The sequence below is a fragment of the Homo sapiens genome, chromosome 6, assembly GCF_000001405.40.
Source record: "Homo sapiens chromosome 6, GRCh38.p14 Primary Assembly".
In the NCBI taxonomy this organism is placed as follows: Eukaryota; Metazoa; Chordata; class Mammalia; order Primates; family Hominidae; genus Homo; species Homo sapiens.
The window spans coordinates 27,827,031-27,840,147 of NC_000006.12; the positions used below are offsets into that span (position 1 = coordinate 27,827,031).

General features: G+C 46.1%; 3 protein-coding genes across 3 annotated transcripts, besides 12 other annotated features; 1 reads left to right on the forward strand and 2 right to left on the reverse strand.

Annotated features, from left to right (window-relative positions):
- Positions 1,069–1,710: an enhancer, noted in NCBI's record as "H3K27ac-H3K4me1 hESC enhancer chr6:27795877-27796518 (GRCh37/hg19 assembly coordinates)". NCBI's record gives its function as "activates a minimal SCP1, AML or CMV promoter by ChIP-STARR-seq in primed H9 embryonic stem cells {active_cell/tissue: H9 hESC(primed)}" and the evidence as "EXISTENCE:reporter gene assay evidence [ECO:0000049][PMID:30033119]".
- Positions 3,981–4,090: an enhancer, noted in NCBI's record as "active region_24316". NCBI's record gives its function as "activates an Ori minimal core promoter by ATAC-STARR-seq in GM12878 lymphoblastoid cells {active_cell/tissue: GM12878}" and the evidence as "EXISTENCE:reporter gene assay evidence [ECO:0000049][PMID:35858748]".
- Positions 3,981–4,839: a biological region, named in NCBI's record as "NANOG-H3K27ac-H3K4me1 hESC enhancer GRCh37_chr6:27798822-27799647".
- Positions 4,014–4,839: an enhancer, noted in NCBI's record as "NANOG-H3K27ac-H3K4me1 hESC enhancer chr6:27798822-27799647 (GRCh37/hg19 assembly coordinates)". NCBI's record gives its function as "activates a minimal SCP1, AML or CMV promoter by ChIP-STARR-seq in naive H9 embryonic stem cells {active_cell/tissue: H9 hESC(naive)}" and the evidence as "EXISTENCE:reporter gene assay evidence [ECO:0000049][PMID:30033119]".
- Positions 4,144–4,530, reverse strand: H4C12 (H4 clustered histone 12). The gene has a single exon (NM_003541.3). It carries the CDS (start codon positions 4,495–4,497, stop codon positions 4,186–4,188), a length of 312 nt encoding a protein of 103 aa, NP_003532.1. The 5' UTR covers positions 4,498–4,530; the 3' UTR covers positions 4,144–4,185.
- Positions 9,475–10,412: an enhancer, noted in NCBI's record as "H3K27ac hESC enhancer chr6:27804283-27805220 (GRCh37/hg19 assembly coordinates)". NCBI's record gives its function as "activates a minimal SCP1, AML or CMV promoter by ChIP-STARR-seq in primed H9 embryonic stem cells {active_cell/tissue: H9 hESC(primed)}" and the evidence as "EXISTENCE:reporter gene assay evidence [ECO:0000049][PMID:30033119]".
- Positions 9,831–9,880: an enhancer, noted in NCBI's record as "active region_24317". NCBI's record gives its function as "activates an Ori minimal core promoter by ATAC-STARR-seq in GM12878 lymphoblastoid cells {active_cell/tissue: GM12878}" and the evidence as "EXISTENCE:reporter gene assay evidence [ECO:0000049][PMID:35858748]".
- Positions 10,501–10,590: an enhancer, noted in NCBI's record as "active region_24318". NCBI's record gives its function as "activates an Ori minimal core promoter by ATAC-STARR-seq in GM12878 lymphoblastoid cells {active_cell/tissue: GM12878}" and the evidence as "EXISTENCE:reporter gene assay evidence [ECO:0000049][PMID:35858748]".
- Positions 10,661–10,710: an enhancer, noted in NCBI's record as "active region_24319". NCBI's record gives its function as "activates an Ori minimal core promoter by ATAC-STARR-seq in GM12878 lymphoblastoid cells {active_cell/tissue: GM12878}" and the evidence as "EXISTENCE:reporter gene assay evidence [ECO:0000049][PMID:35858748]".
- Positions 10,850–11,345, reverse strand: H2AC15 (H2A clustered histone 15). Its single transcript, NM_003510.3, has one exon. The coding sequence runs from the start codon at positions 11,307–11,309 to the stop codon at positions 10,917–10,919; it is 393 nt and encodes a 130-aa protein (NP_003501.1). The 5' UTR covers positions 11,310–11,345; the 3' UTR covers positions 10,850–10,916.
- Positions 10,981–11,090: an enhancer, noted in NCBI's record as "active region_24320". NCBI's record gives its function as "activates an Ori minimal core promoter by ATAC-STARR-seq in GM12878 lymphoblastoid cells {active_cell/tissue: GM12878}" and the evidence as "EXISTENCE:reporter gene assay evidence [ECO:0000049][PMID:35858748]".
- Positions 11,161–11,250: an enhancer, noted in NCBI's record as "active region_24321". NCBI's record gives its function as "activates an Ori minimal core promoter by ATAC-STARR-seq in GM12878 lymphoblastoid cells {active_cell/tissue: GM12878}" and the evidence as "EXISTENCE:reporter gene assay evidence [ECO:0000049][PMID:35858748]".
- Positions 11,539–12,080, forward strand: H2BC15 (H2B clustered histone 15). The gene has a single exon (NM_003520.4). It carries the CDS (start codon positions 11,632–11,634, stop codon positions 12,010–12,012), a length of 381 nt encoding a protein of 126 aa, NP_003511.1. The 5' UTR covers positions 11,539–11,631; the 3' UTR covers positions 12,013–12,080.
- Positions 11,581–11,790: an enhancer, noted in NCBI's record as "active region_24322". NCBI's record gives its function as "activates an Ori minimal core promoter by ATAC-STARR-seq in GM12878 lymphoblastoid cells {active_cell/tissue: GM12878}" and the evidence as "EXISTENCE:reporter gene assay evidence [ECO:0000049][PMID:35858748]".
- Positions 12,621–12,820: an enhancer, noted in NCBI's record as "active region_24323". NCBI's record gives its function as "activates an Ori minimal core promoter by ATAC-STARR-seq in GM12878 lymphoblastoid cells {active_cell/tissue: GM12878}" and the evidence as "EXISTENCE:reporter gene assay evidence [ECO:0000049][PMID:35858748]".

Below are 13,117 nucleotides of genomic sequence, written 5' to 3' on the forward strand. Positions count from 1 at the left end.
CGCCCCTCACCTCCCGGACGGGGCGGCTGGCCGGGCGGGGGGCTGACCCCCCCACCTCCCTCCCGGACGGGACGGCTGGCCGGGCGGGGGGCTGACCCCCCCACCTCCCTCCCGGACGGGGCGGCTGGCCGGGCGGGGGGCTGATTCCCCCCACCTCCCTCCCGGACGGGGCGGCTGGCTGGGCAGAGGGGCTCCTCACTTCCCAGTAGGGGCGGCCGGGCAGAGGCGACCCTCACCTCCCGGACGGGGCAGCTGGCCGGGCGGGGGGCTGACCCCCCCACCTCCCTCCCGGACTGGGCGGCTGGCCGGGCGGGGGGGCTGATCCCCCCACCTCCCTCCCGGACGGGGCGGCTGGCTGGGCAGAGGGGCTCCTCACTTCCCAGTAGGGGCGGCCGGGCAGAGGCGCCCCTCACCTCCCGGACGGGGCGTCTGGCCGGGCGGGGGGCTGACCCCCCCACCTCCCTCCCGGACGGGACGGCTGGCCGGGCGGGGGGCTGACGCCCCCACCTCCCTCCCGGACGGGGCGGCTGGCCTGGCGGGGGGCTGACCCCCCCACCTCCCTCCAGGACGGGGTGGCTGCCGGGCGGAGACGCTCCTTACTTCCCAGACGGGGTGGCTGCCGGGTGGAGAGGCTCCTCACTTCTCAGACGGGGCGGCTGCCGGGCAGAGAGGCTCCTCACTTCTCATACGGGGCGGCTGCCCGGCGGAGGGTCTCCTCACTTCTCAGACGGGGCGGCCGGGCAGAGACGCTCCTCACCTCCCAGACGGGATGGCGGCCGGGCAGAGGCGCTCCTCACATCCCAGACAGGGCGGCGGGGCAGAGGCGCTCCCCACATCCCAGACGATGGGCGGCCGGGCAGAGACGCTCCTCACTTCCTAGATGTGATGGCGGCCGGGAAGAGGCGCTCCTCACTTCCCAGATGGGATGGCGGCCGGGCAGAGACGCTCCTCACTTTCCAGACTGGGCAGCCAGGCAGAGGGGCTCCTCACATCCCAGACGATGGGCGGCCAGGCAGAGACGCTCCTCACTTCCCAGACGGGGTGGCGGCCGGGCAGAGGCTGCAATCTCGGCACTTTGGGAGGCCAAGGCAGGCGGCTGGGAGGTGGAGGTTGTAGCGAGCGGAGATCACGCCACTGCACTCCAGCCTGGGCGCCATTGAGCACTGAGTGAACCAGACTCCGTCTGCAATCCCGGCACCTCGGGAGGCCGAGGCTGGCGGATCACTCGCGGTTAGGAGCTGGAGACCAGCCCGGCCAACACAGCGAAACCCCGTCTCCACCAAAAAAATACGAAAACCAGTCAGGCGTGGCGGCGCGCGCCTGCAATTGCAGGCACTCCGCAGGCTGAGGCAGGAGAATCAGGCAGGGAGGTTGCAGTGAGCCGAGATGGCAGCAGTATAGTCCAGCTTTGGCTCGGCATGAGAGGGAGACCGTGGAAAGAGAGGGAGAGGGAGACCATGGGGAGAGGGAGAGGGAGAGGGCGAAAAACAATTTTAAATCCTCAAAAGTTGTCAGATCTGGAATTGCTAAGTGGGCCTAAATAAAATTTTTTGCATATAAATAATGTTTCTCTTTAAGATGTAAAAAATAATATATATATTTTAACTATGTATGTCTATACATATAAATATATATATATATGTATATATATATATATATTTTTTTTTTGAGACAGAGCCTTAGTCTGTCACCCAGGCTGGAGAGCAGTGGCAGGATCTCGGCTCACTGCAACCTCTGCCTCCTGGGTTTTCGTGCCTCAGCCTCCCAAGTAGCTGAGATTATATACGCAGGCCACCAGGCCCAGCTAATTTTTGAGTATTTTTAGTAGAGAAATTGCCTCACCATGTTGTCCAGGCTGGTCTCAAAGTCCTGGCCTTAAGCAATCTGACTGCCTCATCCTCCCCAAGTGCTAGGATTATGGGCATGAGCCATCGCACCAGGCCAAAAACACATTTTTAAAGTTAAGACTTAAATGTTGTTTTATAATTTTACACCACCAAAGTGATGTGACACGGTGAAAAATTTAAAGCACAATCATAAGAAGCAGATTATTTGCAACCAAATCTGTAACAATAATATTCTACTTGTGGGATCTTGGGTTGAGGTGCATATGCTCTCTAAGCCTCGATTTATTTTTGTAAACAATTATGTGATGATGATAAAAATAGTTCCCAGCTCTAAGGGTTGTTGTAAGGATTAAATGAGTAGGGCCGGGTGGCTCACGCCTGTAATCTCAGCTTTTGGGGAGGCAGAAGTGGGAGGACAGCTTGAGCCCAGGAGTTGGAGACCTGAAAAAAAAGACAAACAAGTGTAAATGAATTGGTAAATAAAAAACACTTAGAACACTGACAACAGTAAGTGCAGTGTGAAACACTTAGCATTACTTTTATGCCAAATTCATAACCTGTAATTGCATCTGACCATCATCCCTGGGTAAGAGCAATCTTTTTTTTTGTTTTGTTTTGTTTTGTTTGGCGACACTCTGTCACCCAGGCTGGAGGGCAGAGGTGTGATCTCGGCTTACTGGAACCTCTGTGTCCCAGGTTTAAGCGATTCTCAGCCTCAGCCTCTCAAGTAACTGGGATTACAGGTGTGTGCCACCACGCCCGGCTAATTTTTTGTATTCCTAGTAGAGACGGGGTTTCAACACATAGGCCAGAATGGTCTCCAACTCCTGGCCTAAAGCTGTCTGCCAGCCTTGGCCTCCCAAAGTGCTGGGATTACAGGCATGAGCTACTGCATCGGGCCCAGAGAGCAACCTTTTCTAACAGCCACATTTTAGTACTCTAGATTCAGCCAGGAGTTGTGTAATTAAACCTTTGTCTATTATGAAATCATAGGAAATACCTGTGTCAAGTGCATTTTTTCACACAATTTTTGCAAATGGAGACATCTTCATTATTCCTATAGTATCATATGTTTTTAAAGTTTGTACTCACACTTTGGGTGATAAATGAAGGACAAGATCCTTCCCTATCCTTGTGAGGATGACTACAGCATGACTGGATGGGCTTGCTATGATTTTTATCTTTCCCTGTGTTCTCACTACCGTTTTATTAATCTCAGTTCTTTTTCACAGGGTAGCACAGAATTTAACTAGCAGAAAGAGATCCAGCCATGTAGACCAGAGATTTGTCTAAGTGACGGCATGTAAGAATCAGGAAGGAAAGTTTTTTGTTTAAATACCAACAGGTTCCTTCCTTAAAGCAATTATTATTTTTCAAATCTAACCCACAAGGTGATAGTATCCTTAAACCAATTAAATCAGAATCTCGGGTTGGATAACCTCAAATATGACTTATTAGCACTTCCCATTAATCACTGGTCCTTCAGGCCTTTAAGTTTACTTACTAGGAATCTCACTTTTAATACCATCTTATCAACTTCAGTTGTAAATAAGAGAACACTCAAAGGCTGAGGAATTCTCAGCGGTAAAGCTCTGCCCACGTTAAGTAACAAAGGATAAGTTAGTCTTTGTTGTGATCACTTTGTTGTACTGATAAGCTACGTATTTCTACTCAAGGATTCAAATTCTCACCTTTCTCAAGAATTGGGCCAAAACCGATAAACTAAACTTATTTACGGTCCACTGATTAAAGGTTGTTGCATAATAAGTTCTTGCTATGTTCAGCAGTTGGATTCACAGCGCCAGAAACCTATAACTGCTTGACTTTCCTCCCCACTACACTGCGAAAATTGCCCCTTAAATGTAACTAACCCTAAAACCTCAACAGTATCGTGGCCAGGCGTGGTGGCTCACTACTGTAATACCAACATTAGGCATAGGCGAGGGGATTGAGGCCAGGATATCGAAACTAGCCTGGGAAACACACGGAGACCCGGTCTTTGGAAAAATAATTAGCCTTGCGTGGTGGTGGGCGCGAGGTTCCGGCTAATCGGGAGGCTACAGTGAGCCATGATGACACTGCACTACAGTCTGCGCGACGGCCCATGTCAGTAAGCTCTGGAGCACCTGAAACAAGTTGTGTTGGGTATTTTATTTACTGGAGAGCGATTAGTGACTGATGCCTACTTACAGCGACTAGAGACGCATGCTCCGATAGCAGCACAAACTCAGCAGGCGCGAACAAATGGTAAAGAGAAACTGGGCAAACAAGCATCACGGCTCCTCAGCTGAGAAAGTGGGGGCCCTAAAAAGGGCCTTTTGTTGATAGAAAGGGACGCTCAACCACCGAAACCGTAGAGGGTGCGGCCCTGGCGCTTGAGCGCGTAGACCACATCCATGGCGGTGACCGTCTTGCGCTTGGCGTGCTCTGTATAGGTCACGGCGTCCCGGATCACGTTCTCCAGGAACACCTTCAGCACCCCGCGAGTCTCCTCGTAGATGAGGCCGGAGATGCGCTTCACGCCGCCGCGGCGAGCAAGGCGCCGGATGGCCGGCTTGGTGATGCCCTGGATATTGTCGCGCAGTACTTTACGGTGGCGCTTAGCGCCGCCTTTGCCAAGACCCTTCCCGCCTTTGCCGCGGCCAGACATGACGAGCAAGAGGAGTCTCACCCAACGCTTTGTGAGGACTCTGGCCTGAGGCAGCGCCTTTATACGACAGTTGGCGGACCGAACTGAGAACCTGAAAGAAGTCGGCGGGAAGTCCCGCCCCGGTGGGGGAGGGGAAATCTAAAGGGCCAAACCGAAATAGGGGGAAAAAAAAAGCGAGCTTCTTGTTTCCGTGTTCTGAATTTTGTAACGTGCATAGTATTTTGTTACCACGTTATGAGGCTTTAAAAAATTGCTTTTGAACGCAGAAGATATACATCAATACTGTGGGAAATACAAGAAAGGACAAGAAATTAAGAAACTACAATGTTATCCCATCACACAGGCTAGTTAATCATGTATTTTGCAGAGCAGTTGCACATATTTTTCCAAGAAAATGTATACAGTGTTGTATATGGAGTTTTGTAACCTCCTTATATTGATTATAATTTAACCAATTTCTATTAAAGAGATAAAAGTGATGTTTTGGTGTCTATGTTTCTTAGGAATTATCAATAGTTATAATCAGTTCCCCAGCAATTTTTTAATCGGCTGTATTTTAAAAATAATGTTTTCCACATTCAACATAAATGTACTTTTTCTCTATACTTGGGACCAATATTGAAATTTATGATTTTATTACACCAAAATTTAAATTTTATTACATTAATATTTAAAATTGTATTAGAGGTCTCATGATTTGGTACTACGGGTCTCCGCATTATTTCCTTTCCAAATTTCCTAATCTGTTTCACCAAGGTTTCTGGACAACTTTAGAGACCTTTTGTGAAGTTTGAATAAAATCTCTTCGAGATTTTGATAATTGCATTAGCTTTAGGACTTAATTGGAATAGAATTAAAATCCTTAAAACAAGCTCTTATAACTAGAAAATTGGTGTTTGTAGGTTTTGTGTGTGGGGTTTTTTTTTTTTTTTGGAAGGAGTCTCGCTCTGTCGTCAGGCCGGAGGGCAGTGGTGCAATCTCGGCTCACTGCAACCTCCACCTCCCGGGTTCAAGCGATTCTCATGCCTCAACCTCCGGATTAGCGCGGACTACAGGCATGCGCCACCACGCCCAGCTAATTTTTTGTATTTTTAGTAAAGAACAAGTTTCACCATGTTGGACAGGATGCTCTTGATCTCTTGACATCGTGATCCGCCCGCCTCAGCCTCCCAAAGTGCTGGGATTACAGGCGTGAGCCGCTTCGCTTGGACGCTTGTAGGTTTTTAAAAAGACACTTTTATATGACCCAACTAAAGATTTGTTATCAACCATTATGGAGCAACTTTGATTCCGTATATTTGATTTTCTTTCTTATTAATAAATACAGGGTTATACTCTGAATTTTTTTTTTTTTTTTTTTTTTTGTGGAGACGGAGTCTCGCCCTTTCGCTCAGGCTGGAGTGCAATGGCCCAATCTTGGCTCACTGCAACCTCCACCTCCCGGGTTCAAGCGATTCTCCCACCTCAGCCTCCCCTGAGTAGCTGGGATTACAGGCACTCACCACCACGCCCGGCTAATTTTTTTGTATCTTTAGTAGAGACGGGGTTTCACCATGTTGGCCAGGCTAGTCTCCAACTCCCGACCTCGTGATCCATATGCCTCGGCCTCCCAATGTGCTGGGATTACAGGCTTGAGCCACTGCGCTCGGCCACTCTGAAATTATTTTAACATCAATGAAAATTATAAAACTCCTATAACTATTCTAATATAATCTCTTAGTATTCAATTCTTTGTTTAGAAAGTAGTTAAGAGTTGAAACTCTGGAAATAGAAAACTTTGGTTTTAGATTAAATGTTTACCTTTCAGACTCGAGCTGACTTGTTACCGATCAGACACGAGGTGACTTGTTTATTCTTTTTAAATCTTTGCTCATCTACAAAGTTAGAATAGGATAGTGACGGTACTGTTGGGGTGCAGAATGATTCCCCAAAATGTGGTTCTTGGGCATGCTGAGCGCTTTTGAACATTGAAAGGCCTCAGAAATAAGCTTCAGAATCAAAGCCCCTCTAACTTCGTCTTCTTTCCCATACATGCGAAGGGACTCTGACATTTCCTAATCGGACCAAGAAAATTTCTTACCAGAAGTAACAATTGCCTTCTATCCCCTCCCTGTTATTTCATTATTGCAGAAAAGAATACTGAATATGGATTTTTCAAGATAATGTCTGCCTCTCGGTCTCATTTAAATTACCAAGACATACTAGGTGCTGTGGCTCCTCCCACTAATCCCAGCACTGTGGGAGGTCGAGGCAGGTGGATCCCTTGAGCTCAGGAGTTCGAGACCAGCCTGGCCAACATGGCGAATCCCTGTCTCTACAAAATATACAAAAAATTAGCCAGGTGGTGTCACATGCCTGTAATCCCAGCTACTTGGGAGGCTGAGGCAGGAGAATCACTTGAACCTGGGAGGCGGAGGTTGCAGTGAGCCGAGATTGCACCATTGCACTCCAACCTGGGCAACAAGAGTGAAACTCTGTCTGAAAAAAAAAAAAATTAGCCAGTTGTAGTGGTGCATGCCTGTGGTCGCAGCTACTAGGGAGCCTGAGGTAGGAGGATCACTTGAATCCCAGAGGTGGAGGTTGCAGTGAGTGGAGACTGTGCCACTGCACTCCAGCCTGGGTGACAGCCTGGGAGACGGATTAAGACCCCATCTCAAAATAAATAAATAAATTATGAAGACAATCATTTACAAGCTAATTTCTTTCTGTGGCCCATTTATTTTCCATAACAAGCCTTTATTGCCCCTCAAAGGAATTGTCTACCTTTCCCATCTCCTCCTTCCCCTATGAAAAAAGTTACATAAGCTTCTGTACTCCTTTAGGGACTGGGGTAATCACTTTGTAATTCTCCCTCGTGCACATTATTAAATTTCTGTGCCATTTCTCCCATTATTCTGTCTTTTGTCAGTTGATTTTCTATGAAACTTCCCTTAGCCCCTACAGTATTTACCTCTTTGAGGTACTGTAAGAATTAATGGAGGCCAGTCTCAGTAGCCTGCCTGTAGTCCCAGCTACTCTGGAGGCTGAGGTGGGGGGATTGCATGTGTTCAGGAGTGGGAGGATTGTGCAAGCTCAGGAGTCAGAGATCAGCCTGGGCAACATCACAAGACCTTCATCTAAAAAATAAAAAAAATTAAAAAAATAAAACAATGGAGATAATGTATGTAAAATATTAAGCAGAAAGCCAACCTCTATTTAATATACGTAATTTTTTTCTTTACAACTAATTTACAAATATTTTGTTTATATTATACTTTAAATATGTTAATACATCAATTTATCTAATTATGTATAACACATTAAGTAGTTAATTTAAATAACAAATATTTATTTTTAGTACATATTGTCAATGTCGGGGCTCAGAAACCAATACCCCAAACTATGGCATGGTGACAAGCTGAACTGCAGAAGCCTCAAAGTCTCTTTGACCTTCTCCCACTCCCCAACCTTTGTCTTCCTGTTATCTGGACTCACCAAAAATGAGTCCCTGTAAGACGAATGTAATCACACCCGAACAGCTCATTTCACAAGATAAGGTACAAGTTTAATTTCTTTTCCCTGATCCATTCATTCTTCCTAGTAATCCCCTCAAATGAATTCCTCTTCTCCCTCCCTCAAACTGTTTTTCAAGGATGGTATATAAACTTCTGAACCACGTTCTGGGGTGGGCAATCACTGATTCTCCCCATGCACATTGTAAATTTGTCTGCCTTTTTTTCTATTAATCTACCTCATGTCTGATTTTTCAACAAACCTTCAGAGGGCATCAAATCAGTAAGGACATTCATTTAATTCAATATTTCACAGATGATATAATACCATGAAGTGATAAGGCACTATAAATGTTCCTAATTGCTCCTTGCCCCTTGGATCTCTCTGATCTTTAGGTTGCCTCCTCTAGTTTACTTACTGTGAAGCTACTCATTTAACAGCTCCTCCATTTTCCTTTACATGTGTATGTGGAATTATAAACAATGATATATCACACTTGTATATTTTATTTTGCTTAATACATAAGTTTGCATGTCAATGTTTTGATTATGAGTACATTGATTTGAGTTTGCATAAATAACACCCAAAATTATAATAATTATAAAGCAAAAGTTACTTTACAAGCTGTTTAGCTTAAAGAATTTTACTTCTGGAACTCACGAACTCTGAAAAATATTACTTAGCTAGCTTTCATGATTAAATGGTGGTTCTTGGGAGAAACAGAATCAATGGAATAATTTTATTATCAACTTCAATGATCATAACAGCATATTTTATTTAAAAACTTATTTTAATTTCAAAAATCTTACAGGCCTTCTATGGAGCTGTATCATTTACTCTATATTGAGAAACAATTATTGAAAATTTATACACATAAATAACACAGATGACATTTTAAAAGGGAACAAATGAATTAATTCATTGAAATCAGGATGGAGTCCTCAACATCAAATAATAAATTTTTTTAAACAATGTGATATTTATGATTTTTGTGATTGCTGTTTTATTCCAAGAAATACTAGTTGTATGTGATTGCAATCAAGACTTAAATCTAGGAAATAAAAATGTGTGAAGAGACTCAAAAATTAATGTATTTCAATGGACTGGAGATCCTGTAGAAATTCATTTTCATTAACATGTCTGTATGAGGAAAACAGTAGCTTATATAAGTTTAGGTGGAGAGGAATAGAAGGCCCTCTCTATAGCTAGGAGGACTTGGTGATCTGAGAAGGAAAGGAGTGATCTTGGTGAAAGAAAGGAAGCAGGAAAAACTGACAGGAACAGGAGTATATGACCATGATATAATAAAAAACCTGACTTACAATGTCCTTCATTCATACTGTTTTTAAATAACACGTTCTAAAGTAATCTCACACCCTAACCCCAACCCTTTCCCATCATTTATATAAACAGTCCATTATGACATGTATTCTTTGCCCAAGCCAACTTGAAGCTCCTTTTGGATAGAGACTTTATGTATCTGGATTAATATTGTATTCCCATTTAGGAGAGTGCCTGGCACACCATAGATGCTCAGAAAGATTCAATTGAACTCGAATAGGTAGGCCAAACACACACGGGGTCCTAAATTGTGCAGAAGGGTCAGATACCTAAATTTTGCTTCCATGGTCTTATGAAGTATAAACTAAAAGCCCAAGTAAGGAGCAAAGGTTAGTTTACCAATTTTATCTCTGGAACCCAGGTACACTGAAAAGTATTATTTAGCTAGCTTTCAGTCCTCTGTAATACAGAAAGTAAATATCTGACACTAGGTTCATTTGAAACACTCTTGCTCTGTCACACAAGCTGGACTGCAGTGGTGCAATCATAGCTCATTGCAGCCTCGAACTCCTGGGCTCAAGTGATCCTTCTGGTCTCAGCCTCCCGAGTAGCTAGGACTACAGGCTATGAGACGCCAGGCACGGTTAGTTATTTTACTTTTGTAAAGATCAGGCTGGCTTCGAACTCCAAGGCTCTAGCGGTCCTTCCGCCTCGGCTTCCCAAAGCGGTTCTGTTTACCGGATGGTGCCAAACAGTTCCAGGCTCTTGGTGCCCGGTAGAAATTGGACGACACACACACAGATAGCAAAGCAAAGCAGCAAAAGTTTAGTAAACAGAGTATTACACTCTCGGGGGTGGGAGAGAGCGGACTGACCTCTGCGAGGTGAGATCAGCGTCAGCTTGCTGTAGTTTGAGTCATTTTATGTGTGTGCGTGCGTGTGTGTATGTTTTCTGTTCCCAGTGCTGCCTAATCTATAGCCAGCATCTGCCCTTTTATTGATAGGTTTGTTGCTTACTTTGTCCTCTGTGGCTTGTGCCTCTATCTTATAATCTTAAATATATGCATGATATGTAGCCCATATGCATGAACCTTAAGTAGCTGATTATCATACGGGCTTTTGTTAAGGATACTTTTCCTCTCTAATACGCATGCCCATCTCTGAAGAGCTGCCTCTTAAACTGGTTTGTTCCAGATCTTGCCGGCCACGAGGTCCTTGCTCACATTATCTCTTTTGTTTCGGCTGCAAAAGGTTCACTGCTTGTTATCTCGCTTCTTGTTCACCCGCCCATCTACCTTACTTCTGCCCTTTGCTTTTACTTATTCTGCCCTCTAACTTTCAGCTCCCTTTGTTATTCTCTTGCCTCACTTTTCTTATTGTTTCAGCTGTATTGCAGGCGCGAGCTGCCGCGCCTAAATTTCTTGATGTACCGTAAACATTTCAATGTCTACTTTCTATCTCAAAACAATGTGGTGTAAAAGCCGTTTAGTTTTGCTTCATCTCCATACAGCATTCCAGTGCCATTGCAAAATGACTCGACTATCAGATAAAACTGAACACAGCTCTACTTGGTGAAAAAGTAGGTGGCTCTGAAAAGAACCTTTTTGGTTTGGACCGAGGTATGAGTAATGAACTGCTCCAGCCCCGCTACTTGCCCTTGGCCTTGTGGTGGCTCTCAGTTTTCTTAGGCAGCAGCACGGCCTGGATATTGGGCAGGACACCACCCTGGGCGATGGTCACTTTACCAAGCAGCTTGTTGAGCTCCTCGTCGTTGCGGATGGCCAGCTGCAAGTGGCGCGGGATGATGCGGGTCTTCTTGTTGTCGCGGGCCGCGTTGCCAGCCAGTTCCAGGATCTCGGCGGTTAGGTACTCCAACACCGCCGCCAGGTACACCGGCGCTCCGGCACCGACCCGCTCAGCGTAGTTGCCCTTGCGGAGCAGTCGGTGCACTCGGCCCACTGGGAACTGAAGACCCGCCCTTGAAGAACGGGTCTTAGCCTTGGCGCGAGCTTTGCCGCCCTGCTTGCCACGTCCCGACATGACGTAAAAAATTCAATCAGTAACGTTCCTGAGACTGACGTAACGCTAAAGCTCCGCTACTTATAGTCAACAGAGGCACGAAAACTAAGCTGTGCTATTGGCTAACATTACAGTTTCGCTTTAACCAATGGGATTGCGGTTTTGAAAAACACTTATTTTGATTGGACAAAGTTAATATACGTTTCCAGGACTCACCACTGGTTAAACGCACAACTTCATTCTCTACCCCACTTGCGTTAAGAAGCAGTGAATAAGCGGTAGGTTGACAGAGCTACCGTCTTCCTGTTTTTTTCCTCCAATTTTCCGGCAGTTACTCCCAGTCATGCCCGAGCCCTCAAAGTCCGCTCCTGCCCCGAAGAAAGGCTCCAAGAAGGCAGTGACAAAGGCCCAGAAGAAGGACGGCAAGAAGCGCAAGCGCAGCCGCAAGGAGAGCTACTCCGTGTACGTGTACAAGGTGCTGAAGCAGGTCCACCCCGACACCGGTATCTCGTCCAAGGCCATGGGCATCATGAACTCCTTCGTCAATGACATCTTCGAGCGCATCGCCGGCGAGGCTTCCCGCCTGGCGCATTACAACAAGCGCTCGACCATCACCTCCAGGGAGATCCAGACGGCCGTGCGCCTGCTGCTGCCAGGGGAGCTGGCCAAGCACGCGGTGTCGGAGGGCACCAAGGCCGTCACCAAGTACACCAGTTCCAAGTGAGCCCGCCCACCGCGGAACGTTCGGTCAGTCTCGGCCCACACCCCAAAGGCTCTTTTCAGAGCCACTCAGTCTTCCCAAAGAGAACTGGCACTCACTGTTCTTACAGCAGGTATTTCTTACTTGCTACAAAGACGATTTCCAAGATTCCTTTAGCCTTGTTAGAAACTAATTTTGGCTCAAGCCTCTAATCCCGGTTCGGGAAACCGAAGCGGGTGGCTCACCTGAGGTTAGAAGTTCGAGACGAGCCTAGCCAACATGGTGAAACCCGTCTCTACTAAAAGTACAAAAAAATAGCTGGGCGTGGTGGCGGACGCCTGTAATCCCAGCTACCCGGGAAGCTGAGGCAGGAGAATCGCTTGAACCCGGCAGATGGAGGTTGCAGTGAGCCGAGATCGGGCCATTGCACCCCAGCCTGGGCAGTAAGAGCGAAACTCTGTCTCAAAAAAGAAAGAAAAAGAAAAGAAATTAATTAGCACTGCAGTGTACTGCATGTTGCAGCAACGCTTGAGACAATTTTATATCTGAAGAAGGATGAGGTTTATCATCAGACAAACCTAGTAAAGGGAAAATTCAGTTCCTGTTGACCCCAAAGAAAATATAATACTTAAGTGTCACTGGTAAAATATCCACAGTGCTTCCGGCGCTCTGTCCCTAAACTTCATGTGTACTTTAGTAATGAAGCAGTTGGCACACACACAAACGTACAAATCGACTTGTTTGTTTTGAGAGTGGTGCTGTTTCTCCTCCCTTGTCCCCAGTTTGGATTTGCTAAATATTAAGATAGAAAGGCAGTAGAAAAAAGTTTGAACCCAGTTTACAGCACCGTACACGTCAATCGGGCTGAGTTGATGTCAATGGCCAATCCCGACACTGCGAGGGCAGTTTGAAACTTGGCCACCGTTTTCTCTGGTGAGTGTTCTAGTTGGGAAAATTCTTGGCAGTGCAGGTTTTTTGGAGGAATCTTGCTGTCTTACTCATTCCCATAATTCTCTTGTGTGGAATTCCTATTTATGAACATAGTTTCTATTCCCTACTTTTTCTGTTAGGGTCTGCTCCATGTTTTCTTGTCTGTGTCACTTGCGTTTACTGTATCTCTAGTAATTGG